This window comes from Homo sapiens, chromosome 1, assembly GCF_000001405.40.
Source record: "Homo sapiens chromosome 1, GRCh38.p14 Primary Assembly".
NCBI classification, from domain to species: domain Eukaryota; kingdom Metazoa; phylum Chordata; class Mammalia; order Primates; family Hominidae; genus Homo; species Homo sapiens.
Window position 1 is genome coordinate 30,784,177 of NC_000001.11, and position 26,256 is coordinate 30,810,432.

Here is a 26,256-nt window from a genome sequence, read left to right on the forward strand (position 1 = left end):
GGCATCTGCCACCATGCCTGGCTAACTTTTGTATTTTTAGTAGAGACGGGGTTTCACCGTGTTGGCCAGGCTGATCTAGAACTCCTGACCTCAGTGATCTCCCCCGCTCAGCCTCCCAAAGTGCTGGGATTACAGGTGTGAGCCACCACGCCCGGCTACTTCCCAAATTTTAAAAAAAGCCTCCCAAGACCTTTGACTTTCCCAGTGCCTCTCTGCCTGGAATGAAACGTGAGTGCTGGAGGCACAGCAGGCACTTTGGAACTACGAGGGCAAACACCACAAGTTAGGGACAACGGAGTTGGGAGAGCCTGCACTCTGACAATGCTGCTGACCTGTGCACCAGCCCTAGAGTTCCCATCATGTGAGAAAGATAGACCCTCCTTCTCTTAACACGGGGGACCACCGTCCCTGCTGGTTGCTGCCTACTCAAGTTTGCATTCCCATCTGACCCAGCAGCCCTGAGTAGGGGTTAAGAATGTAGTTTTTTTTGTTTTGTTTTGTTTTTTGACAGAGTCTCATTCTGTTGCCCAGTCTGGAGTGCAGTGGCGCGATCTCGACTCACTGCAACCTCCGCTCCCAGGTTCAAATGACTTTCCTGCCTCAGCCTTCCAAGTAGCTGGGATTACAGGCGTGCGCCACCATGCCCGGCTAATTTTTGTATTTTTAATAGAGATGGGGTTTCACCATGTTGGCCAGGCTGATCACGAACTCCTGACCTCAGGTGATCCACCCACCTCGGCCTCCCAAAGTGCTGGGATTGCAGGTGTGAGCCACCGCGCCCAGCCAAGTAGTCTTAGAATCTTGGCTGACGAATTGGTAGCTGCATGGCCTTGAGCAAGGGGTTTTGTGTGGAAGAGCCTCCATTTTCTCTTCTGGAATAGGCCCAAGTGTGCCCCCTGCACAGAGCTGTTGGAGGGTCAAATAAGACACCAAGTGTCCTGAGCCCAGGACGGGGCACACACACACGAAGGTTGGGTGTTGTTAGGAAAGGAGAAACGGGCCATAGGGAGAAGACAGGGGGAGGCCCTGTCCTGGATCCTTCCCCCTCAGGAAAGGCTGTTTGGGAAACAGGTCTGATCGGGGAAAATTGAGCAGCGCTTCCTGACAGATCAGTAGCTCCCTGAGCCCCCAGACCCTGAGTCCCCTCCCCTTTAACGAAGTGCGGGCTCAGCCAACTCAGTTACCTGCCCGCCCAGCAAGGCGGCTGCTCCTCCAGCAGGGCTGGCTGCCCACCCTGGAGATGTGGGAATGGATCCTGCACACTCCAGCCTTCCAAGCCTCTTCTCCACCACCCACCACAGGGTCGGGCATTCTGCTACTGGGGATTCACTCCTTCTGACCTGAAGCCTTGCAGGAGCACCCTGGGTGATTAGGGCTGGCACCCTGATGAAAGGCTATGGCTCCGGGGGGTACTCAGAGGCCACTGCTGAGGTGTAAGCACCTTGGAACATGTCACCCCCTGAACTGTGGTCAGCTTTGGCCCTGGGTGTAGCGAAGGGGAAGAAAAGGAACTGGCACCTCGGGGATATGTCCTGCACCAGACAGAGGCGTGTCTCAGTGCATTGGGTCAGCACAGCGATCCCGCAGGAGGGTGTTGCTGGCCTCAAGACAAGAAAAATAACCCTTAGGAGAGGTAAGGGACTTGCCCAGGTCACAAACAAGCAACAGCACAGAGCTGGGATTCAAATCCAAGCCTCTTCCACTCCAAGGCCCAGCCCTGGGCTCTGCTCCCTAACTAGCTATGTGACATGACAATTCCCTCCCCTCTCAAGGCCTTCTGTAAAATGTGGTGGTTAAAAGACATGAGGCTGGCCAGGTGCAGTGGCTCGCGCCTGTAATCCCAGCACTTTGGGAGGCCAAGGTTGGTGGACCATTCGAGGTCAGGAGTTCGAGACCAGCCTGGCAAACATGGTGAAACCCCATCTCTACAAAAAATACAAAAATTAGCCCGTGCAGTAGTGGAACTGAGGCAAGAGAATCACTTGAGCCTGGGAGGCAGAGGTTGCAGTGAGCCAAGATCACGCCACTGCACTCCAATCTGGGCAAGAGAGTGAAACCCTGTCTCAAAAAAAAAAAAAAAAAAAAGACATAAGCTTGCATGACCCCCCTACCCAAGTCAGATGCTGTGGGCGCACTGCAGGGAGCTTAAGAGAGTGGGCTCTGGAGTGGGTCTGCCGGGGGGTGCCCCCCAGCTCACCCCTTACATGGGAATTTGGTTACTTAACCCTGTTGTGCCTGCGCTCACTTGCCTGTGAAACAGGAATAAGAACTGTCTCCCTTCTCAGAGCTGCTGCACCTGCTGTGGCAGCTCCGCATGAGAGCTGCACTGTTGTGACAGGCTCCTTGGAGGGCCAGAGCAGGAAAAGACTGGGGGACTCAGGGAGAGCTGAGCAAGGAGGTGGAGGGAGGAAGATCAGTGACATCATAGAAACAGGTTTGTGAGGACCAGGGCTCCTGCCCTGTGGCCCTCGGATGGTCCCACAAATCCCTGGGCAGATAAATCCCAGCTCGCCACTTCCTGGCCTCTCAAAGAAGCCCTTTGTCTGGTGGGTATCAGAGGCTACTTCCGGCTCCACGAGGGCCTGATCAAATGGAGACAAAGGACCCTCACACCGGCCAGAGAGGCCCCAGGGGATGCCCACTGGCCCCCAGCTTCCGCTGCCTGGGTGGCCAAGGGGGGCCCCCGCAGCCTGGCTGAGATCAGAGGGAGAGGGGACAGCAGCCACGGCTGCTGGGAAGTCAGGGGAGGGCCCGGGATAAGGGTGTGGCAGGAAGGGAGTCAGCAGGGACAGGAATTAAAGACTCCAGAGGGCCTTTTTCAGGAGCCAGAGGGCTTTTTTTTTTTTTGAGATGGAGTCTCGCTCTGCCGCCCAGGCTGGAGTAGTGGCGTGATCTCAGCTCACTGCAACCTCCCAGGTTCAAGCGATTCTCCTGCCTCAGCCTCCCGAGTAGCAGGGACTACAGGCACCTGCCACCATGCCCAGCTAATTTTTGTATTTTTAGTAGAGACGGGGTTTCACCATGTTGGCCAGGCTGGTCTCAAACTCCTGACCTCAAGTGATCCACCCGCCTTGGCCTCCCAAAGTGCTGGGATTACAGGCGTGAGCCACCGTGCCCAGCCAAGGGCATTTTAAAAAAATAAATAAATCAAGCACTCGAAGCCTTCTGTAGCTGCCCATTAGCCTCAGGCAGACTCAACTCCAGCCTGCTCCCAGCCCACGAAGCCCTGGGCTGCCCACCTCCCCCAAAACAGCCTTCTGCTAGTTCTCCAAACACAGGCTGCCCCACTCATGGTTGGGGACTTTGCCCCAGCTGTTCACTCTGCCGGTAGAACTTTCCTCCAAGGCATCCACATCCCTGACTCCCCCCTTTCATTAGGGCTTTGCTGTAGAGATGCCCCCTGACTCCTGACCCCTCTGCCACACTCTCCAGTCCCCCACTTCCCTCTCTGCTTCAACTGGGCTTTCATCCTCATATGTCTTCTCAGGATCACCCATGGCCTGCCTGTGGCAGGACCAAATAGCCAAGTGCCTCTGGGTGTAGGCGGCGGCAGCACCTAACACAGGGAGGCTGGGTCTCCTCTCCAGTCCTCAGCAGCTTCGCTCTGGTTTTCCTCCTGCTTCCTGGCTCCTCTGCCGGTGCCTCCTGGCCTCCCTGACCTCCTGGGAGGCTCTGGTCCTGTGCCCCACCCTCACTCCCTCCTTACGTGACCCACGCAGTCTCTGGCTTCCACCACCTTCTCTCTCCCTGACCCACACCTCCAGCCCCAGCCTTTCCCCAGAGCACGGGACTCCTGTGTCCATGCTCACTTCCAGGAGTTCACGCAGCTGAGTGACGGCATCTCGAAATCCACAGGCCCAAACCCAGCCCTGGCGGCCCCTGCCCCAGACCTGCTTTCACGGCACCCCCAACTCTGTGGGTGATGATGCCCCCTTGCTTATCCTCGACCCTGTCTCTCCGACACCCCACGCCTGCAGACCCAGGATCCGACCACTTCCATGGCTCCTGTTGCTGCCACCTCAACCTCCCAACTTCTGCCCTTGTCCCTGCTTCAAAACGCTCCCGTCCTGCCCTCCCCAGTGACCCCCAACTCAGGGTAAAAGGCCAGCAAGTGTGCAGCTGCCCCCCAGCCCTCGGCTGTGACCTCTTGAACCTCTTCCCCTGCCCTTCGCCCCTCACTCCAACCGCTGGGATCTCATTGCCGGTTCTCAAACATTCCAAGCTGGCTCCCAGCTCAGGGCCTGCGCGTTTGCTGTTACCTCTGCCTGGGCCAGACCTGCGAGGCCCACTCCCTCACCTCAAAATATCACTGGATCAGAGAACCCCAAAAAGTGCTCCTCACAATACTCCCCATCTCTTCCCCCAGCTTAATGTCCTTCAGCTCATGCATCCCCAGCTGGTGGCCTCCCCACAAGCAGGCAGCTCCCTGAGAAGGGGGACTATACCTTTTTTGTTCAATGCCAGCACATAGATCATGCCTGGCACACAGGAGGGGCTCCAGAAATGTTGGCTGAGTCAGCGGATGAATGCGCTGAGCTGAGTGTTGAAGGCTACGTGAGTCTGCCAGGCAGGTGGTGGGAGGAGATGTTCCAAGCAGAGGGAACAGCATGTACAAGGCCAAGGCACAAAAGGACATAGCGTGTCCAAGAAGGCAGGGAGTGCTGCTGTGCAGAGCAGAAGGAGGAGGGTCTAGGGCTGGGGAGTTTAGGGCTGCGGAGTCAGCCAGGGAGCCTGGTCATGAAGGGAATGTGCTTGTTCTTCCATTCATTCATTCATTGAATATTTATTAAGCCCTGTGAGAAGTCTTGCTCTTTCCCCATCTAAAGGGATAAGACTTAATCTTGAAGGTACTTGGGAGCCATTGAGAGATGCAGAGAAGGGGCAGCACCTATCACTGCTGGTCACAGGATGGAACCCCAATATGCCCCCGGATCCTCCCCTACCCCCAGGGGGTGCCTGCTAAGCCACTGCTTCCTTTCCAAGGCAGCATTTTGGAGGTCTGGGGAGAGCATGCCCGCCGAGCTTTCTCCTGGCAAGGCCACAGAGCAACTGAGTCTCCACTAGAGTCAGCCTGTCCACCTGTGGCCCCCCTCGATGTGTAAGTCACATGGCCCAGATGGGGGCTGTGAACCTCCAGAGCTGGAAGAACCTCAGAGAATCCAACCCTTCATTTTCCAGACAGGGCAACTGAGGCCCACCAAAGACAAAGGACTTATTCAAGGTCCTGCTGTGTCTTCAGAGGCAACTCTTGTTTGCAAGTGACAAGCACCTGATTCAGACTGGCTTTTTTGAAAGGACGAGGGACTCTGCAAGCATGACCAGGATGTTGAAGAGTGAACTTCAGGTGCGGTTGGATCCAGGCTTACCTTGGGACACATGCTTCCCCTCTGACAAACACTTGCCACAGGTCTGCAGGACTCTCAGTGGCCACGTCTGGGGATAATGTGTCTACTCCTGGAGTGGGGGTGAGGCGGCGGGGGCAGTGTCAGCCCCACATGGCACCCCAGGACTGAGAAGAGGGTGGGACCCCAAAGGAAAATTGGATTTGCTGGCCCAAGAATGGGGGTAACAAAAGCTGATGTCCCCACACCTAGGAGCTTAGGGATAGAACCCAGACCAGATCTCCACCACCCAACTCCAAACCCAGCACCTATCCCACGTCCCCAGACTCCCTCAGGAAGACAAACTAGACACTAGCGTGGATGGAGGCTGGAGCCAGAGGCAGGGGACCGGGAAGGAGGTTGTCCAGGCGAGAGGCAATGAGCCCCTTGGAAGAAACTCATCAATCTCCTAACTCCCAACTCATTTTCCCACGTCAGCATTTTGCTGAGGGAAACATCTGTCACTTCTTCAAGATGAATAACACACCAACACCATTATTAATGTATTCTTAAGTGGTGTTTAGAATCCACTTCATTCTAACCATCATGACATACATCTTTGCTGACTTGTTCGGACCCCAGAGACCTGGCACTGCATGGCTGCTGCGCAAACTGGGTGACCCCTGATCCCCAAGCATGTAGCAGAGGGTCAAGTTCACAGCAGCCTGACAAACAGCAGGAGAATACACCCCCCAACCCCAGTGAGAGAGACCTGACGCCAGTGAGGGCCAGTGAGGTGAGTGATGCCTGCTACTGCTGGTGGGCGTGTCAGGCCATTATTTTGGAAAGTCATCAGCAGGGTACTTTTTTTTTTTTTTTTTTTTGAGGCAGAGTTTTGCTCTTGTTTTCCAGGCTGGAGTACAATGGCGCCATCTCAGCTCACCACAACCTCCACCTCCCGGGTTCAAGAAATTCTCCTGCCTCAGCCTCCTGAGTAGCTGGGATTACAGGCATGTGCAGTCACGCCCGGCTAATTTTTTGTATTTTTAGTAGAGATGGGGTTTCAGCATGTTGGTCAGGTTGGTCTCGAACTTCTGACCTCAGGTGATCTGCCCACTTCAGCCTCCCAAAGTGCTGGGATTAAAGGCATGAGCCACCGCGCCTGGCCAGTCATCTAGCAGGGTACTTTTACTGTCTAAAATGGCACACACTCCTCCCACCTCTGGAAAGGCCTCTTAGAGATGTAACTGGAGATGTGAAAAAAGCTGTGAGTGCCAAAGATGCTCATCGGGGCATTGTTTATAACAGAGAGAAATTGAAGCTTACCCAAGTGTTCAATGAGGTGATGTCCAAGCATAACCTGAAATGGTGATGCAAACTCAGGCAGCTCCACTCTATGGGACATTCTGTGTCTATTCAAAAATGTGGCCTTCAAAAACTACTGTCTGACGATCATTTGATGGGAAAAAGCAGAAGCTTATGAGAGCCCCAGTCAAAAGAATGATTTTTAGCATCAGAGGAATGCCCCAGAGTTCCACGGCCGGAAGCACCATCGAGACACACAAAACCACCAGCTCCTCAGCAGCGTGTGTCTCCTCAACCACACTAAATCCCTCCTGCTTCTCTCTGGCTGCAATGTTCTCTCTCTCTGCAGGCCAGCCTGGCTGCCTTATCTCCAGAGCTTACCCACTACTCTAGCTCAACCTCACAGCTATTTGATTCCATCTTCTCTTCCTGCTGAAAGAAAATGAGAGAGGGATAAAGCAAGAAAAAGAGGGAGGCAGAAAGAAAGGGAGGGAAGGAGGAAAAGAGGGAAGGAAGGAGGAAGAGAAAGAGAGGGAGGGGAGGAGGAAGAGAGGGAGAGGAGAAGGAAAAGAAGGAGAGAAGGAGGAAGAGAGGGAGGGAAGGAGGAAGAGAGAGAGGGATGGATGAAGGGAAAAGGGAAGGAGGAAGAGAGAGAGAGAAGAAAGAAAACAGGGAGGGAAGGAGGAAGAGAGAGAGAGAAGAAAGAAACCAGGGAGGGAAGGAGGAAGAGAGGGAAGGAAGGACAAAGAGAGGGAAGGAGGAAGACAGGGAAGGAGGGAGGGAGAGAAGGAAGGAGGAAGGGAGACAGGGAAGGAGGAAGAGAGAGAAGTAAGGAGGAAGAGAAAGAGGGGAAGAGGAAAAGAAAGAGGAGAGGAGGAAGAGAAAGAGGGGAGGGGGAACAGAGGGAGGGGAGAAGGAAGAGAGGGAAGAAGGAAGGAGGGAGGGAAGAAGGAAGGGAGGGAAAAAGGAAGAGAGGGAGGGGAGGAGGAAGAGAGGGAAGGAAGGAGGAAGGGAGAAAGGAGAAAGAAAGAATTTCTAGAAGGGACAACTGAATTGTCTTGGCTTTGGTCAAGTGACTCCCCTGGTCCTATCAGCTGTGCTGGACCAGGAGGGCTCCCCATAGCACAGCAGGCTCCCGGTAGTTTGGGGTGGGGTAAAGCAGGAGGAAATGACTGATGTCCCAAATCCTAGTACATTATCGCAGGGTGTATTAGTTATCTATTGCTGCATAACAAATTAGCCCCATGCTCAGTGTTTAAAATTACAGCATTCATTATGTCACAGAGGAATTGAGAAGTTTTTCTGGGTGGCTGTGACTCAGAGTCTCTTGTGAGGCTGCAACCAACACGTCAGCCAGGGCTTCCATCTTTGGAAAGCTCAACTGGGCTGGGGACTCTGCCGTCAAGCTCCTCACAGGGCTGTGGGCAGCAGGCTTCGGTTTCTTGTTGGTTATTGGGGTGAGACCTAAGTTTCTTGCCCCACAGGCCTCTCTGTAAGGCTGCTCAGGACAGGACAGCTGGCCCTCCAGTGCAAATGACCTAAAAGAGAGAGAAAACTACCAAGACGGAAGCTGCAGCATCTCTCACAACCTGATCTCAGAAGTGACGCCCCATCAGTACTCCCGTATTTTATCCTTCACACAGACGCACCCTGGTACAGTGTTGGAAGGGATGACACGGGCACGAATCCCAGGAGAAGGGACCACTGGGAGCCATGTTAGAGGCTAGCTAACATACACGGAAAACACTCATTCTACAAAACTGGTTTCAAAAGTGGATATGCTCTACACTTTTTTATTTTTTTTTTATTTTTTTTGAGACAGAGTCTTACTCTGTCACCCAGGCTGGAGTACAGTGGCACTATCTTGGCTCACTGCAACCTCCACCTTCTGGGTTCAAGTGATTCTCCTGCCTCAGCCTCCTGAGTAACTGGGATTACAGGCATGCGCCACCATGCTCACCTAATTTTTGTATTTTTAATAGAGACTGGGTTTTGCCATATTGCCCTGGATGGTCTTGAACTCTTGGCCTCAAGTAATCCACCCACCTCGGCCTCCCAAAGTGCTGGGATTACAGGTGTGAGCCACTGCACCCAGCCTACCTATTTTTAAATAAAAGAATCAAGTAGGGTAAACATAGTCCCAAAGAAAGTCTTCCTTTTAAAAGAAATTGCCTTTGATTACTTCTGCTGGGTCATAGAGGACCTGCCAGATCTGAGATCTGGATGCATGCAGTATGAGGGCTGGGTGACACTCAGCATCCAGCCTCCATGTGCAACCGTCCTCCTGGTCACAGGATGGCCACGGGGCAACAGGCACTTGCACCTCGCCATGGCTGGGGTTCAGACACATGTATGATGTGACTGACTGACTTGGGGCAGGTGCCCAATGGAAACCAGGCAAGACTGCCAGGAGCTGAGGAGGAAAGGCTCCGTAAGAGAAAGCGGAGAGCAGGTCGCAAGCGAGATTCAGTGGCAGGGGCCCCCGGTTGGAGGGGGTCTTGGTTCTGGACACATCTTGACACCTGGTACCAGGACCCGCTCCAGCCCGGCCACCTCAGCAGCAGCAACAATCCTGGGTGGGTAGGCTGAGTGTGGGCAGAGAGAGCTGCTTTGAAGACGGTCCACGCCGCCCTGCCAGGGGACCCATCCTCAAGGAGCGCCCTTCCCCTCTCTCCCTGGCAAGCAGTGAGCTCCCGAAGTGGCAGAGGACTGAGAGCATGGGGGCCCTGGGAGGCAGGACCCCGCTGGGGCAGGACCCCGATGGAGACGCTGGAGGCAGCAGCAGCGGTGGGAGGGGGTGGGGATTCACCCACACTCTTGAGAGGAGAGAAGAATGAACCCAGGAGCTGGAGTTCCCACAGGCGTAGGTGGGGGGCGGAGCCAGCAAGACTTGGATATTAATGCTTACTCTGGTAACGAGGCTTTTATCACCTGATGATTCCTAGAACCACAGAAGCCAAAATAGGCAGGCCTGGAGGAACCTCGTTAGAAATCTAATCCAACCCCACAAGTCTCACCAGCTACTCAAGGGCTTGACCACTCCCAGCAATGGTGAGCTCACTACTCCGTAAGAAAATTCATTCCGTCATTGGACAGTCCTGACAGATAGAAAGCTGTTTCTGAAATCCCTATGGGTACCACTAATTGGCCCTAGTTCTGCCTTCTGGTGCCTCATAAAATAAACCAGCACCCACTCCTCCAATAGTTACCCTCTTCATTGTTCAGATCAGCTCCTCCCAGCACATCACAGACCATCAGAAACCATTTGTTCTTCCACACTGCAGTGTGAGCCACACTGCATAGCACTACACACCCCCTAGAATGGTCAAAATGAAAAAGGCCGGCCATGCCAAGTGTTGGTGAGGATGTGGAGCAACAGCGACTTTCACACACACCAGTGGGAATGCACGGCCACCCTGGAAAGCAGTCTGCCCCACCCAGCCCTTCCACTGCTGAGTATTTACCCAAGAGAAACAAGAACATGCCCCCAAAGGCACACGCACATTAATGTTTGTCGCCACTTGCTTATAATAGTCAAAAATTGAAAACAACCCAAATGTCCATCCACAGGTGAATGGAAAAACAAATTGTGATATATCCATGCAGCAGAGTACTACTCAGCAATAAAAAGGAACACCCAGCAACAGGGATACATCTCAAGAAACAGGGCTAAATCTCAGGAAAGAGTTCACTGAATGAAGAGAGCTAGACAGAAGTCTAATACTCTGTGCTTTCAATTATAGAAACCCCTAGAAAAGGAAAAGCGATCTAGAGGGCAAGAAAACAGATCAATGCTGGCCTGGGAATGGGAGTAGGGGAAGGGATGGACCGCTAAAGGGAATGAGAAGAAGTGGGGAGATATGGAAATGGTAGTACACTGATTGTGGGACACTTTCGCAGGTGTCAAAACTCACCAGGTTTTGTGCTTTAAGTAGGGCAAGTTGTACACATAGAATACATACGATATATTTTAGCATGTTTCTTAGAAGCTCTAACATGCCGTTCCTTAATTGAATGCTCTAACAACCTGGTCCAGCCGAAGGCCTGGCTTATGAGCTGTTTGTAATTAGCACATGGAGGGGCCTGAACGGCAGGAACTAACGGAGCACCCTCTCTTTAGCAGGTTTGGCCTTGTTAATGTTTGACTCTGGAAACTTTCTTCCAATGCTTTCCAGCAAGTTAATGGCAGAGCCAGGACGTAAACCCAGGTTTCCTGGTTCCCAGGCCAGTTATCCAGTCCCACAATGTGAGAAGAAATAGAAACCAGCGCTTGTGGAGTGCTTCATGGTTCTCCAAGCTGCTTGACATCTGTAATCTGATTTCCTGGATTAATCCCATTTAACACACTCGAGTGTGTCATGGATGAGACGGGGCCGGGAGCACATGCAACGTGTTTATTTATGGCAGGCATCTACTCTGATGGCTTGAGGCCCAGGCCAGGCCAATTGTTAAGTATCTTGAATAACCCTCCTGGGTTAAGCATTCTGGGTTTTGGAGTCAGATAGATCTGGGCTGGAATCCAGGCACTACTATTTACTAGTAGAAGACCTTGAGCAAACCATTTAACCCCTTTGCACCTCAGTTTTCTCTTCCATTAAATGGGGATGGCAGCAATAAACTCCTTATATCGCTGCTGGGATGATTCAGTGTGGTCACAGCATCAGGCATGTGATAAACCCTCCAAGTCTGGCAGCCATCATGAGCCCCATTACTACTATTAATCCTCACACTACTCTTTTGAAGTGAGTCCTATTACATTCCCATTTTACAGAGAAAGAAACCCAGGCTCAGAGAGGCAAAACGACCTGCCCAATATTACACCATAAATAAGTGGCAGAGCCAGGACTCGACCTCAAGTCTCCTGTATGGCTGCAAAGCCAGCTCTCTCTTCGTGGCCCGCCAGGACTCGACCTCAAGTCTCCTGCATGGCGGCAAAGCCAGCTCTCTCTTCGTGGCCCCACACTGCCTTCTGCTTGGGCTATGAAAGTGCTCAAGGGGCCTAAGATGTGAAGGCATAATCAAAGTGCCCTCACATCCCACCCAGTTACAGCTAGAGCTGAAGGAAGCCAAGGCCTGGGCAGGCTGATGCGGCCGAGACCAGGTCAGTCTCCTCTCTGGATCCTAGGCTCTGCCACTTTAAAAACCAGGACGAGGCTGAGCACAGTGGCTCACACCTGTAATCCCAGCACTTTGGGAGGCTGAAGCAGGTGGATCACCTGAGGTCAGGAGTTCAAGACCAGCATGACCAACGTGCTGAAACTCCATCCTACTAAAAATACAAAATTAGCTGGGCGTGGTGGCACATGCCTGTAATCCCAGCTACTCGGGAGGCTGAGGCAGGAGAATCACTTAAACTTGGGAGGCAGAGGTTGCAGTGAGCTGAGATCGCACCACTGCACTCCAACCTGGGTGAAAGAGTAAGACTCCTTCTCAAAAAAAAAAAAAAAAAAAAAAAAACCTCAAGGGGAACTCAGGTCCTGATACATGTGACAGAGGCTAGAATAGTGGTCACCTTCCTTGTAGGGAGGTGGCACAAGTGAGACCCTGGACACAGGTGATAGTCACAGTTTTATACATATATAAAAATCCATCTAAGATTTGCATACCTAGGCCAGGCACAGTGGCTCACGCCTGTAATCCCAGCACTTTGGGAGGCTGAGGCGGGCAGATCAACTGAGGTCAAGAGTTCAAGAGCAGCCTGGCTAACATGGCGAAACCCCATCTCTACTAAAAAATACAAAAATTAGCCGGGCATGGTGGCAGATACCTCTAATCCCAGCTACTAGGGAGGCTGAGGCAGGAGAATCGCTTGAACCGGGGAGGTGAAGGTTGCAGAGAGCCAAGATCGTGCCACTGCACTCCAGCCTGGGCGAAAAAGCAAGACTCCGTCTCAAAGAAAGAAAAAAAAAAGCTTTCCACACTTTACTGTATGAAAATTAGACTTCAATAAAAAATAAAAAATAAAAAAGGCCGGGCGCGGTGGCTCATGCCTGTAATCCCAGCACTTTGGGAGGCCGAGGCGGGCAGATCACGAGGTCAGGAGATCGAGACCATCTTAGCTAACACGGTGAAACCCCGGCTCTATTAAAAATACAAAAAAAATTAGCCGGGCGTGGTGGCGAGCGCCTGTAGTCCCAGCTGCTAGGAAGGCTGAGGCAGGAGAATGGCATGAACCCAGGAGGCGGAGCTTGCAGTGAGCCAAGATCGCACCACTGCACTCCAGCCTGGGTGACAGAGCGAGACTCCGTCTCAAAAAATAAAAAATAAATAAGAAAAAGAAACAAACCTCAATCTTTACCCAAATGTCCAGGCACACATGTGAGCACATAGGTGAACATACGTGCACACTCATGCACTCTCTAGCTGCACCTGCTCCAACAACAGTACCCCTAGACAGCCCCCCGCCACAGTGGACAGCAAAGCCCACCATGCGGATACAGGCACTTTCCAAACTCACCCTCACACACTGTGACCTTTGCAGAGCCAGGTACCCACTTGAGCACAGGCACACGTGGTCTTGGAGACACCTGGGGGATTTTCAGCCCTAGTTTGTAGCAGGGGTTCCTGGAGAAATATGCAACATTGGGCCAGGCACAGTGGCTCACGCCTGTAATCCCAGCACTCTGGGAGGCCGAGGCGGGCGGATCATGAGGCCAGGAGATCGAGACCATCCTGGCTAACATGGTGAAACCCGTCTCTACTAAAAATACAAAAAATTAGTTGGGCTTGGTGGCAGGCACCTGTAGTCCCAGCTACTCAGGAGGCTGAGGCAGGAGAATGGCATGAACCCAGGAGGCGGAGCTTGCAGTGAGCCGAGATTACGCCACTGCACTCCAGCCTGGGCGATAGAACGCGATTCAAAAAAAAAAAAGAAAGAAAGAAATATGCAACCTCGACAGCAACTTGGCTGACACAGGGACCGGCCCCTCCCCGCCAGGATTTCCAAAAGGAGAAGACATTTCCTCCAGCCTGTGGCTGGGCTGCTGGAGGAGGCCATGGCCTTGATGCCGCTTCAGCAGGTTTCTCATCAGGCCAGCAGGTGTCCCATGCAGCCTGCAGCACCTGGGGATCTGGGGAGAGGAGAACCCAGAGTCCTGGGAGGATCAGGAGGTCCCCTGCCTTGGTCATCCCCCCTTCTGGGCCAAGACTATGCTAGATCAACCTTGGGGTCAGCCAGTGAGTGCATGAGTCCCCAGGAGGCCAGGACTGGGGAGCCCTGGAGGCAGGAGGTCAAGTTCATTGTGGCAGTATGGGAAAGTGGTTACATGGGTGAGCTTTGGAGCAGGAGAGCCCTGCTCAGCAAGGCTGCCCCAGCAATGCCATTTATTAGCTGTGTGACCCTGGACGCATTACTTAACCTCTCTGGGCCTCAGTTTGCCCACCTATCAAATAGAGATGATAACATTACCTGGTAGGAAAATATTACATGGTGGGTAAGGAGGTGGGGAGAGAGTTAAATGGCATCAGACTCATGCCCCTGGGCATAGTAAGTACTTAACAGTGTGAGTCATTTTTATCAAAGGCCCAAGGACAGGAAGAGGCCTCTAGATATTGAGTATCTTGTGGATTGCAAAGTGACAGCCACGAGCTCAAATGCAACCCACAAATGGGCTTTGTTTGGCCTACACAGTGTCTTTCTTTCTTTCTTTCTTTTTAAATTGTTGCCAACATTTAAAAATCAGATTTCACATTTAAAAATCCAAATTTTCTGCTTCTCTTGAAAAGTTCAAAGATTTGGCAATACTGGGCCTGCATTCCCGCCTGGCCATCATCAGCCAGAGCTGAGTGGCCACTGCCCAGCTCAGTCCAGCCCTCCCGGTTCCACCCGCCTCCTCCCAGTTCCTGCCTGGCCCCAGGCGCTGGAGTTTGCAAACCCCTCACAACCCACCAGCACCTGGTCCCATGCCTTCATGATGCACATGGACAAATGGGGCTCTAGAGGAGATCCTAGGGGCACAGCCTCCCCCGGGGTCACAGCAAGTCAGTGCAGAGATGGCAATCAGACTTGGGTCACCTGATTTCCAGTCCTTCCTGAGCACTGGTTAAATGCCAAGGAGGAAACTGGCCGGGCCCTCAAAAGTGCCTGCGTCTACAGCACTTGCTGGGGAGTCAGGGTCATTGCTGGGCATGGGACTTCCTTCTCTGAGTCTCAGTGTCTTCATCTGTAATACAGGATAATCATAATCCTCCCTCATAAGGCAGTTGTGAGGATGAAATAAGTTAAAAGAAGTAGAGATCTCAGAGCAGTGCCCGGCACACAGTCATTGCTTGATAATACCAACATCATTCTTGTTCTCAGTAACTCCTGGCGCACACATTGTGTGCTCATGACCTTTTTGGTTCCTAACAACCAGCTGTGATGTCACTCTCCTTAGCCCCATCTAACAGATGAAGAAACCAAAGCCCAGTAAGACCCACATAGCCAATGAGGGATGGAGCCAGGATTGGGGATTTCAAGCCAGGGTCATCTGGCTCCAAATTATCATGCACTAGAAGCCTCTGCACAGTCCACACATAAATCACATAAATATTGAGGGCCTACTATGTGCTGGACACTATTACAGGCACCAGAGACATGGCTGGGAACACAAGAGACAAGGTCCCCAGCCTGAAGAGGCTCACAGCCTGAGAGATGGGGGTGGGGCAACAAACAGTCAACAAATCACTCAGGCTCTGGTGGTGTCAGGTGCTAGGATGTATTGGAAAGTGCCTCAATCTTCCCCCAGATGTCCAGGCACACATGTGAGCACATAGGTGAACATACTTGCACTCTCCAGCAGCACCTACTCCAACAACAGTGCCCCAGACAACAGGGGTCAGGCATGGTGGCTCATGCCTGTAATCCCAGCATTTTGGGAGGCCCAGGTGGGAGGATCCCTTGAACCCAGGAGTTCAAAGTTACAGTGAGCTATGATTGTACCACTGTACTCAGCCTGGGCAACAGAACAAGACCCTATCTCAAAAAAGAAAAAGGGAGGAAGAAGGAAGGAAGGAAGGGAGGGAGGGAAGGAAGGAGGGAAGAAAGAAAGAGAGAGGGAGGGAGGGAAAGACGAAAAAAAGAAAGAAAGGAAAGAAAGAAAGAGAGAAAGGAAAGGAAAGGAAAGAAAGAAAGAAAGAAAGAAAGAAAGAAAGAAAGAAAGAAAGAAAGAAAGAAAAGAAATGAAAAGAAAAGAGAGAGAAAAAGAAAGAAGGAGGGAGAGGGAGAGAGGGAGGGAAAGAAAGAGAAAAAAAGAGAGAGAAAGAAAGAAAGAAAGAAAGAAAGAAAAGAAATGAAAAGAAAAGAGAAAGAGAGAAAGAAAGGGAGGGAGAGGGAGAGAGGGAGGGAAAGAAAGAGAAAGAAAGAAAGAAATAAAAGGGAAAGAGGGAAGGAGGAAGGAAGAAAGAAAGAAAGAGAAGGAAGGAAGGCAGGCTGGCTGTCGAGAGGCACAGTAGGTGCCTTGCTATAGTAGTCAGAGAGACTGCCCCAGGGAGGTGACATTAGACAGGGACCTGAGAGCTGAGAAGGAACAGGCAATGCAACAACTGAACCCAGCAGCAGGAAGAGCCGCGGTGCAGGCTCCCTACTGGAATGAACTTGGTGTTCTCCAGGCATGGAAGGAGGGCCAGTGCAGCTGGAGCAGAGTGAGGAGGAAGGCCTAGGAGCAATAAAGTCAGACAGGGAGATGGGTCCCGACTACCAAGCACCAGAGCAGCCAGCTAAGAAATACTAATACCTTCCGCCCTTCACCCAGGGCCCACGGTGTGCCAGACGCGGCACTGGGCACTCTTCCTGCAGTGCCTCATTCGCCCTCTCCACGCATCTATGCTTCATTGGCCCCATTTGTCAGGTGAGGGCACAGAGGCCTAGAGAGAGGCAGGCACTTGCCTGAGGCCACCCTACTGGGAAAGATGGGTGCAGGCCTGGAACTCCCATCTGCACTCTAAGCCAGGCTAAGCCAGGCCCTCCTTGCCCACCATCAACCAGGAACAGACCGCAGTCTTACTGGCCTTGATGTGATCCATACTGGAAACAAAGGGTCACTTCCTAGCCAAGGCAGGCCTCCTCCTGGTCTTATGGCCCCATCCCTAGTAAACCCAGTCTCCCAGCTGATGGACATGGCATACCCAGCACACACACAGTGCCTATGTACACACACACACATGCACACACACATACACAGCCACCCTGCCAGGAGGATGATATAGAAAACAGTGCTCTCCACAGAGGATGAGCTTCCAGGCATCAGGTCACTGTGGTCTTCCCAAGCTCCTCATCTCATCGAGGGCACAACCCATCATCTAGGCCAGAAGCTTGAGCACTGTCCTCAACTTGCTTCTCTCTTACCCTCCCCATTTCTCATCGCCTATGAAGCCTGCCCATTCTGAGCCCATCCGGGCTTTGGCACCCATGGCTATCTTCTGTTGGGGCTCTAAAGGTAAGGGTCTTTCCTGCTTTCATGTCCTCTCACCTGCCACCACCTTTGCTGGAGAACCAAGGGCCAGGCGATAGTGGCAGCCGCTGGGGACTTAGGAGTGGAGAAAGGAAGAGCTTTAAAGGAAGATCAGAGCAGTAGGGGGGTGATGTCACCAGCCCAGGACACCTACTGATTGATGCCAACATCACCCTTCAAGACACACACACACAAACACACACACACACACACACACACACACACACACACACACACTCATCTTGAGCTCCTGTTTCATGGCTATCAGGTTGCAATGCCGCTGCTCCAAGACAAAACAGGAAATCCCACGACTAAGCCAGCCAGATGGGGCAAGGGGCTGAGAATCTGAAACCCCCTCTGCTCTCTGCAGTCACCCTCCACCCCCCATCCCACCTCCTGCAGGCTGGAGCTCCGTGGCCAGAACCCTCCCTGGGCACCTCCCTACCCCAGGCACTGCCAGCCCAGCCTCTATTGGATTCAGGGGCCCGAATTCCTGCCCTGTGCAAGCTCCCTGCCCCACACAGGGCCTCATGTCTCCATCGGGAAGTCAGGGGTGGGTGATTTCTGAGGGTCTTTCCAGTTGAGATACTCCAGCTTTTATGGACATTTGCCTCCCAAAGACACGGGGGCTGGGAGTCCCCAAAGTAGAAGTTGCAGTCCGCGGAAAGGCCAGCAGAGGGCACCCGCGCTTCGTTTGCAGGAGGTCCGCGTCGAGCGACAGGCGACAGGGTTGGGAAGAACGCTGGAAACGCTGGGGCTTTGCTTGTACCCCTGACCCATTCCGATTTTCATAAAGCTCCGCATAGTTCCACGGGCAGGCCTCTGTGCCTTCGCACATGCAGCTCCCCTGCCAGCCTGCAAAACTCAACCAGGGATCTCAGCCCTAGGGAGGCCTCTCCTGACCCCTCTCCTCTGCTGCCTCTGGATCCACAGTGCCCGCTGCAGATCTGACTCCAGCAGGGACCAACCGCGGGTGGATGGAAGGATGGACGAAGAAAGCCAGCTACAAGCAGCTACGTGGTCGTTCTCTAGAAACAAATAATTTGACGTGGAAAACTGCTGGGGAGGAAAATCATTTTTAAAATGTAAAACACTCACTGAGGTCTAAGGGCTGGCACCATGATCTTACTTAATCCTAACCAAACGCCTTGTTGGGGTGGGTGGTATTACCCCCATTTTACAGAGAGGGAAACTGAAGCTTAAAGACAGCAAGTGGGCCTGGCACGGTGGCTCATGCCTGTAATCCCAGTACTTTGGGAGGCCAAGGCGAGAGGATCACTTGAGCTCAGGAGTTCGAGGCCAGCCTCAAACTAAAAATACAAAAAATAAGGCTGGGCGCAGTGGCTCACGCCCATAATCCCAGCACTTTGGGAGGCCGAGACGGGTGGATCACCTGAGATCAGGAGTTCAAGACCAGCCTAACCAACATGGTGAAACCCCCGTCTCTACTAAAATACAAAAATTAGCCAGGCGTGGTGGCAGGTGCCTGTAATCCCAGCTACTCAGGAGACTGAGGCAAGAGAATCGCTTGAACCCAGTAGGCAGAGATTGCAGTGAGCTGAGACTGTGCCATTGCACCCCAGCCTGGGCAACAAGAGAGAAACTCCATCTCAAAAAAATAACAATAATAAATATAAATAAATAAATAAAACAGCTGGGGGGCTGGGCACAGTGGCTCACACCTGTAATCCCAGCACTTTAGGAGGCCAAGGTGGAAGGATCACCAGAGGTCAGGGGTTTGAGACCAGCCTGACCAATGTGGTGAAACCCCATCTCTACCAAAAATACAAAATTAGCTGGGCATAGTGCCGCATGCCTGTAATCCCAGTTACTTGGGAGGCTGAGGCAGGAGAATCACTTGATCCCGGGAGACAGAGGTTTCGGTGACCTGAGATCGTGCCATTGCACTCCAGCCTGGGCAACAAGAGCAAAACTCTGTCTCAAAAAAAAAAAAAAAACCAGTTGGGCATGGTGGTGTGCGCCTGCAGTCCCAGCTGCTACTTGGGAGCCTGAAGTGGGAGAAACACCTACACCCAGGAGGTCGAGGCTGCAATGAGCTATGATCAAGCCACTGCACTCCAGCCTGGGGGACAGAGGGAAACCCTGTCTCAAAACGATAAAAATAAAAGAGAAAGAGAGAGCAAATACATTGTCCAAGGTCACCCAGCAATGTGGGAAAAGCAGGATTCTAACTCCAGTCTGTTTCACTCTTCATTCTGCTATGACCTAAGACCCAGCTCTGAGCTCAGCCCTGTCCTGATCCCTAGCAGAGTCCTCTGGGCGATCCTAAGGCACAGACAAGTGCAGACAGGTCCCAAACAGTCTGGCAGCCCTGGGTCCGAGGTTTTCCCTCAAAATTCTATCAACTCAACCTAACCCGAATTCTAGCCTAATGCTGACTCTACTAATAAACACTACTATTTACAAAGTGCCATGTGCCAAGTACTAACACTTTGGATGCAACATTTTGTGATCCTCAATAGAACCTGATATGAGGCATAGTATCCCCATTTTACAGATAAGGTGAGTAAGATTCTGAGAGGTGAACGCATTGCCCAAGGTCACACAGCTAACAGATAGCAGAGGCAGGACTCAAACCCAGCACTGTCCATTTCCAAAGCTCAAGTTCTTACCCACAACTTACACTCACTTTCTCCCTCCTCCAGCAGACACTTCACACGGCCTCTCCTCACCAGGCCTTAGCTGAATTCTTACTTGAAAACGTCCCGACCATGCCCTTCTCAGGCCCCCTGACAACAGAGTCAAGGCCATGACCCCAATCTCTGCAGGGGGAGCTTTGGTGAAATAAAAAGGAGCCTCTCTCTCCTCTCCAGAAGCAGAGGGCCCCCCAGACCTTTGTCCCAACCTGGGCTGTGAATCACACACCCCCTGCCTCTGCAACCAATTTACTCTGGGCTTGGGGGAGTCCTTTAAGAGCTCCAAGCTTCCATTTCCTCATCTGTGAACTGAAATACAGGTTGTGTATCCCTTATCTGAAATGCTTGGGACCAGAAGTGTTTGGGGTTTTGAACTTTTTTGGATTTGGGGATATTTGTGTTGTACCAATTGAGCACCCCTAATCTGAAAATCAGAAATGCAAAATGCTCCAATGAGTATTTCCTTTCAACATCATGTCGGTGCTCAAAAAGTTTCCAATTCTGGAGTATTTTAGATTTCAGATTTTCCCGTTAGCGACACTCAATCTATAATAGTATCAGGGCCCCAGGGCTGCTGGGGGCACTCCTGTCACACTCACGAGCTCACTCCATGCTAGTTCCCTTCCCTAAACCTCCCAATCTATAGACCTGGCCGTGGGGGGTCTCCCGCTCATTCATTCACTCAGCAGATCTCTGGGCATGGCTGATCTGTGCTGGGGCCTGAGCTTGGAAGAGGAAACAGCAAAGAGGGCTGGTTAAGAGGCTACCTCTGCAGGGACTGCTTTGCCACTTAAGTGCTGTGTGACCTCAGGCAAGTCATTTCACCTGGCCGTGCTTCCATTTGTCTTAGTAAAATGGGGATAGGCATGCTGCCTGCCTCCAGGGTTATTGAGAAAACTGAAAATCAGGCAGGTAAAGTCTTAGCACGGTACCCAGCACATAGTAAGCCCTCAGTGATGACAGCTATTAGGATATTATTGAGGAGTTTTCAAAGTCTGATGGGGAGAGGGGACGGCTAATCAAATAATTGTCATACAATAGGATCACTGCTAACGCCAGCGCAAACCAGGCATTGGGGGCACACAGGGGAAGGAGTAACTAGGCCTGCCAGGGGAAATCAGGGAAGGCTTTCAGGAGGAGGTGCCACTTGAAAGCTAAGTAGAATTTTACCATGACGATGAGAGGAAGAGCTTTCCTGGCAGGGGGCACAGCGGTTAGTTACAGAAGCTCAGAGACTCTTGGAGGCACAAGGAGATGCTTACTGATTGTGTCTGGGGAAGTTTCAGGACACAGAGCTGGGAAGGTGGGTGGGAGATGATGGCAAACCACCTTGCTGGCCTATCTGGGGGGATTGGGACCCCCACTCTGGGGCAGCAGAGAGGAGGAGAGAGACAAGATCCAATTTGCCTTTGGGAAAGATGACCCAGGTGGAAGGTCCGGGAGGGTGGCACAGGGGCAGGACAGGAGGCAGAGACTGAGGAGGCTGCACCTGATAGGGGACCCAGGGCAAAGGTTGGGGGCAGTCTTCAGACTATGTTCCCAAGACCCTGGCCAGGAAGGAGGTGCTGGGGCAGGCTGGGGTGGGGTGGAGTGCGGGTGACCGTGACCTCAGTCAGCCGGGACCAGAACTGAGGCGGGGGTGGGAAGGGGGCTGCCGGCACACTGAGTCACTTGACTTATTGGATTTCTGAGAGATTGCTCCCCTCCCCCTTGCCTCGGCAGCCAAGGCTACTCCATTAAAGCTTCACCGTCAGTCAACCTAGGCCCAAGAGCCCAGGTGCGAAGCAGGAATAGGCTGGGCAGAGACAGAGAGATCCACGACCTTGGGACTTCTCAGAGTCAGCCCTGGAAGGGCTGGTGCTCAGGGCTGACCAGGCAGGGAGGCAAGAGGGGGAAGTGGTTAGGGGTGTGGACACTGGAGCTGGCCAGACTGCTTCAAATCCCAACTCTACCCTTAGCAGCTGTGTGACCCCAGACCACTTCTTTAACCTCTCTGTGCCTCAAATGGGGATTATTGACATGCCTACCTGAGACAGAGGGTTGTTCTAAGGATGATTAAATGAAACCTGTCAAGTGCTAGGCAAGACGCAGGCTCTCAGTGGGAGACAGGTGCTCCTGTTGGTGTTGAAGGTGGACTTACCTAATGCCCCAAGCCCTAACTCAACTCTCAGCCTTCAAAGTCTGCTTCGAAATAAAATCCAAGCTCTTCACTCATCATTAAGCCATTCACATGGGATGCTGTTTCCCTCTCCAGCCTCTTCTGCAAGCCCACCCCTGTTCCTGCCATTCTGAGCCTCCAATGCCAATCCTCCATCCGGTTTCACACCTCCACGCCTTGACTTGTGCTGGTCCTTCTGCCGGCAGAAGGGTTGGGGTTGGGGTTTACCTCACCTGGTTCCCTCGTCTCTCTGATAAACTCCTTGTTTCTACAGTGACCTCAGCTAACATAACCAAGGAAGCAGGAGGTGCCCACCTGACAGATGAGGAACTCGAGGCTCAATAATGAGCAGCTGTCCAAGACCACTCAGGCAAGAAGCAGAGATGAGAACTCAGGTCAAGCCTGCCCTTTGCCAAGCTCACGGCCATGCCTGACCTACCTCACTCCCATGGGGGCCTGGGGCTCACCAGCCTCTCTGAAGCCCTGCCCAGTTCTGTGGCTGACAAAACAGACACACATTCTTCCCTTTGCTGGGAGAAGCCACACAGCATCAGAGAGACTTCCCGTCCAGCCTCAGCTGCCCCACGTTCTGGCTGTGGGACCTCAAGCAGGTTATGAGTAAACCCCGTAAGCCCCAGTTTGTAAGTGGAAGGAATGGCCGAGGGGTTACCATGCCCAGGATTATGTGAGTTTAGTGGAGGCACAGAGCAGGTGGCATCATGCTTGGCTCCCCAAACGGGAGCTGATGTTTTATTCCTCATCTGCATAACTGTTTAAGATGGACATTCCCCCATCTTACAGATGAGGATACTGAGGCTCCAAGAGCAGAAATGGCCTGGCCAAGTCACACACATAGTGACAGAACGGGATTCAAACCATTGCTTTCAGCACCAGGCTCAACACCTTCCCCCGAAGGACTCCCAAACTAGTCCTCGAGATGCCAAGCAAAGAAACAACCCCCAACATTTATTGAGCACTTACTGTGTGCCTGTTCTACATCCTTGAACTAACTCATTTAGTTTCACAACAATCCTAATGCTTGCGCTATGATTATTCCCAGTTTGCAGAGGCGGGAACTGAGGCTCGGAGCGCCTAAGGTTCAGTGCCCTCCCCAAGGTCACACGGCTGGTGAGAGGCTGGGTCGGGACCAGAATGAGAGCTGGCTGACTCCCGACCTCGGGTCCTAGCTGCAGGCTAGGAGTGAGGTCGGGTTGGGGGTAAATAATCCGGGGCGAGGCGACAGGGCCGCGCTGGGTGGGGCAGAACCCGAGCCTGGGGGCCTCACGGAGACACCCGCCCCTGTCCAGCCAGCGGATCCGGACTGTGGGATGCTTCCCACCCCGCCCCCGCCCCGGGCCGCCGCCCGCCGCCCCTCGCCGGGGTTAAGCTCCAGCTTAGCGGGTCCCAAGGGCTCCCCGGGGCGCGCCCCGGAAGCCGCAGCCGCGCATTTCATTATTGCCTTGGCCGTGGCCTCGGGTGCCTTCCCGGAGCCTCTCCGTCTTCTCCCCACTCAAATATCACCTCCCCGGGGACATCTCTTCATTTCTTCCTCCCCTCGCTGCGCTCTGCGGAGCCGGGCATCCTGCCAGGCCCTGCCTCGGGCCCTGCGCTTGGCCCGGGGAGGCCTCTCAGTAAACAGGCAATTACCCCGTGCAAAGTGTGCCCTTCAGTAATAAGATTAATGAAAATAATAGCTCACATTCGTGCCATGCTTCCAGTAGTCACTGTGAAGAAAGCTCTACATAAATTAACTCATGCAGACCCCCCACAACCCTCCGAGGAAGTACTCTACTGGACAGACAGGGCAACTGAGGCCCGAGGCCATGCTCTATTAAATGGCGCATGCCCACGCAGGGGACATTTCCAGAGTCATCCATGCTGAAGAAAAAAGGACAGCTGTCATTTCGAAGAACGTGCTTCATTTTTTAACCTCACCACCCTCTGAGTACCAAAGAAAGTTAAACCCTCTTTTTCACCTATTAAATCAGGAGGGAGATATAACCAGAGTGATTGCCACTCCATCTTCTCAGGAGGTGGGGGAGGGGGAAGCTGGGCCTTGAATCTGGAGCTAAACTTTCTGCCAAAGCCCCTGCATGCCTCCAGGTCACAAGCCTCCCTGTGCCACAGGAGCACAGACAGGGAGGTATCAGGACAGGCTCCCTAGAAGAGGTGATATTTGAACTGGGTCTTGAAGGATGCGTAGGAGTTGCCTACGCACATGCAAAGGTCAGAAGCCCTGGGGACAAGTCCTGATTATCCCTCTTAACTGCTGGGTGACTTTTACTCTCCTCCTCACTTAGCCTCAGTTTCTTTATCTGCCAAGTGGAAATAATCGTCCTGAGGTTGTCAAGATTGCATGAGATTATGGAAGTAAAAGTGCTTGGTGAGCTGTCACTGTGGGGGAGGAGGAGGGTTGCTGGAGCACTGACCACCTGCTGCCTGGAATGCAGCTCTTCATGGAAATGACTCCTCTGCTCATGAAAAATAAGATGAATGATACCCTGTTCTATCAGGAAACTGAGGCCCAGTGGCCCTGTGAGATTAAAGAACTTGACCAAGATCACACAGCAGAAACTGGAAGGGTCAGGCCAGGTGTGGTGGCTCACACCTGTAATCCCAGCATTTTGGGAGGCTGAGGCAGGTGGATCACCTGAGGTCAGGAGTTTGAGACCAGCATGGCCAACACGGCAAAACCCCGTCTCTACTAAAAATACAAACATTAGCTGGGTATGGTGGTACAGGCCTGTAATCCCAGCTACTCAGAAGGCTGAAGCAGGAGAATCACTTGAACCCAGGAGGCGGAGGTTACAGTGAGACGAGATTGTGCCACTGCACTCCAGCCTGGGCAACAGAGCGAGACTATCTCAAAAAAAAAAAAAAAAAGAAAGAAAGAAAGAAAGAAAAGAAAAAGAAACTGGAAGAGTCAGGATTTGAGCTAAGATTCATGTGACTGCAAAGATATGGCTTCACTGTTTCAGCTCTCATGATGACCTCATATACCATTGGGTTGACCCATCACCACCTTTCCCTTGTCATTGCACACTGAAGCAGTGTTGTTTTGCATTCTTATAAATAACATTCAACTGGACATCTTTGTGCACAGACTTTTTCCATAGTTTATATTATTTCCCTAGGACAGATCCTCAAATAAGATTACTGGTTCCAGAAATAGGAACATTTTTATGGCTTTCAATAAATATTTTCCAGTTGCTTTCAAAGGGGTTCCCAATTCGCAGTTCCACCTGCAGCGTATAAGAGAGACATTTCACTAGATCCTCACCAGTTACTTTTTTTTAATCCCCTAAATGTACAAGATGACAGTGGTATTGCATAGGTGTGCTGGCTTTATTGTTATTATTACCAATGAAGCTGAGTGTTTTTAAGGGCTGGAAAGAGGGTCTGTATCAGAAGTCACGGGACCCCTGAGAGAGACCTGGAGTCGATATGAAGGCACTCGGAGTAGAGAGCATTCGTTTCTGGTGGAGAAAATGAACGCATGGCCAGGACAGTCGGAGGTTGCTCTTTCTGGAGCACTCTTTCTGGGCTTCTCATGAGATGGCCAGTTCTTATCCTTCAGCTGTCAGCTCAAATCAAACATCAGCTTCCAAGAGAGGCCCCCCAACCCGCACCGTCTAAAGGGGCCACCTACCAGGCTCTCTCTGAGTCATTATCTTCGGAGCACTCAGCATACTTGAAGTGCTTATTCATTCATTTCCTGGCCTGTTTTCTGCCTCTGCCTCTAGAACACGAGCCCTTGAGAGCAGGGATCTTTCTGCTTCAACTTCTAATGAATTTCCATTGCCTAGGACAACGCTTTTCATTAATTAATTAAGTGTTTCCATGTGTGGGTCATCTTGCCGGCCAGCAGTGCTATTGCTGTCTGCATCACATTCCAGAGATGGAACAGGCCTCTTTTCCTGCATCCCCAAGTCTGCCTCCAACACCCTTACCCAGGGCACGTGTGCACATAGCTGACTCTCATGAAGTTTAGGGCCACAAGAAGTCTTTACACCATCATAGCACTCAGCCCGCCTTCCCCGCATTCAGGGCTCTGCTTCCTTAGAACTCAACCTCCCTCTCCTCTCTTACCAACCTCTGGAGACCCACAAAATATTCCTGCTCCACCAAAGGCCACCCACTCCAGGTCCCCTGTGGAGCCGCAGCTCCGGAAAACCTGCAAAGGCTCTGGAATATCCATTGTCCCCCTTGTCTCCCACTGGGTTCTGTGCAGCAAAGGAAGTTGTGCAGAATTTTATCTCCCTGAGACATGAATTACACCACCACCCCCCATCCTCTGCCTTAGAAGCAGAGTGGGAAGTGGAACAGACTGTTTGGGTTTTTAATAATACATTTTTTTCTCTCTATTCTCAAACCATGTCAGTCTA

The 26,256-nt window shown here is 52.2% G+C and overlaps 5 annotated features.

Annotated features, from left to right (window-relative positions):
* Positions 3,695-4,207: an enhancer, noted in NCBI's record as "H3K4me1 hESC enhancer chr1:31260718-31261230 (GRCh37/hg19 assembly coordinates)". NCBI's record gives its function as "activates a minimal SCP1, AML or CMV promoter by ChIP-STARR-seq in primed H9 embryonic stem cells {active_cell/tissue: H9 hESC(primed)}" and the evidence as "EXISTENCE:reporter gene assay evidence [ECO:0000049][PMID:30033119]".
* Positions 17,606-17,900: an enhancer, noted in NCBI's record as "tiled region #4114; K562 Activating DNase matched - State 4:PromP". NCBI's record gives its function as "activates a minimal TATA promoter and a strong SV40 promoter by Sharpr-MPRA in K562 cells {active_cell/tissue: K562}" and the evidence as "EXISTENCE:reporter gene assay evidence [ECO:0000049][PMID:27701403]".
* Positions 20,140-20,807: an enhancer, noted in NCBI's record as "NANOG-H3K4me1 hESC enhancer chr1:31277163-31277830 (GRCh37/hg19 assembly coordinates)". NCBI's record gives its function as "activates a minimal SCP1, AML or CMV promoter by ChIP-STARR-seq in primed H9 embryonic stem cells {active_cell/tissue: H9 hESC(primed)}" and the evidence as "EXISTENCE:reporter gene assay evidence [ECO:0000049][PMID:30033119]".
* Positions 20,808-21,473: an enhancer, noted in NCBI's record as "NANOG-H3K4me1 hESC enhancer chr1:31277831-31278496 (GRCh37/hg19 assembly coordinates)". NCBI's record gives its function as "activates a minimal SCP1, AML or CMV promoter by ChIP-STARR-seq in naive and primed H9 embryonic stem cells {active_cell/tissue: H9 hESC(naive and primed)}" and the evidence as "EXISTENCE:reporter gene assay evidence [ECO:0000049][PMID:30033119]".
* Positions 25,756-26,256: an enhancer, noted in NCBI's record as "H3K27ac hESC enhancer chr1:31282779-31283279 (GRCh37/hg19 assembly coordinates)". NCBI's record gives its function as "activates a minimal SCP1, AML or CMV promoter by ChIP-STARR-seq in naive H9 embryonic stem cells {active_cell/tissue: H9 hESC(naive)}" and the evidence as "EXISTENCE:reporter gene assay evidence [ECO:0000049][PMID:30033119]".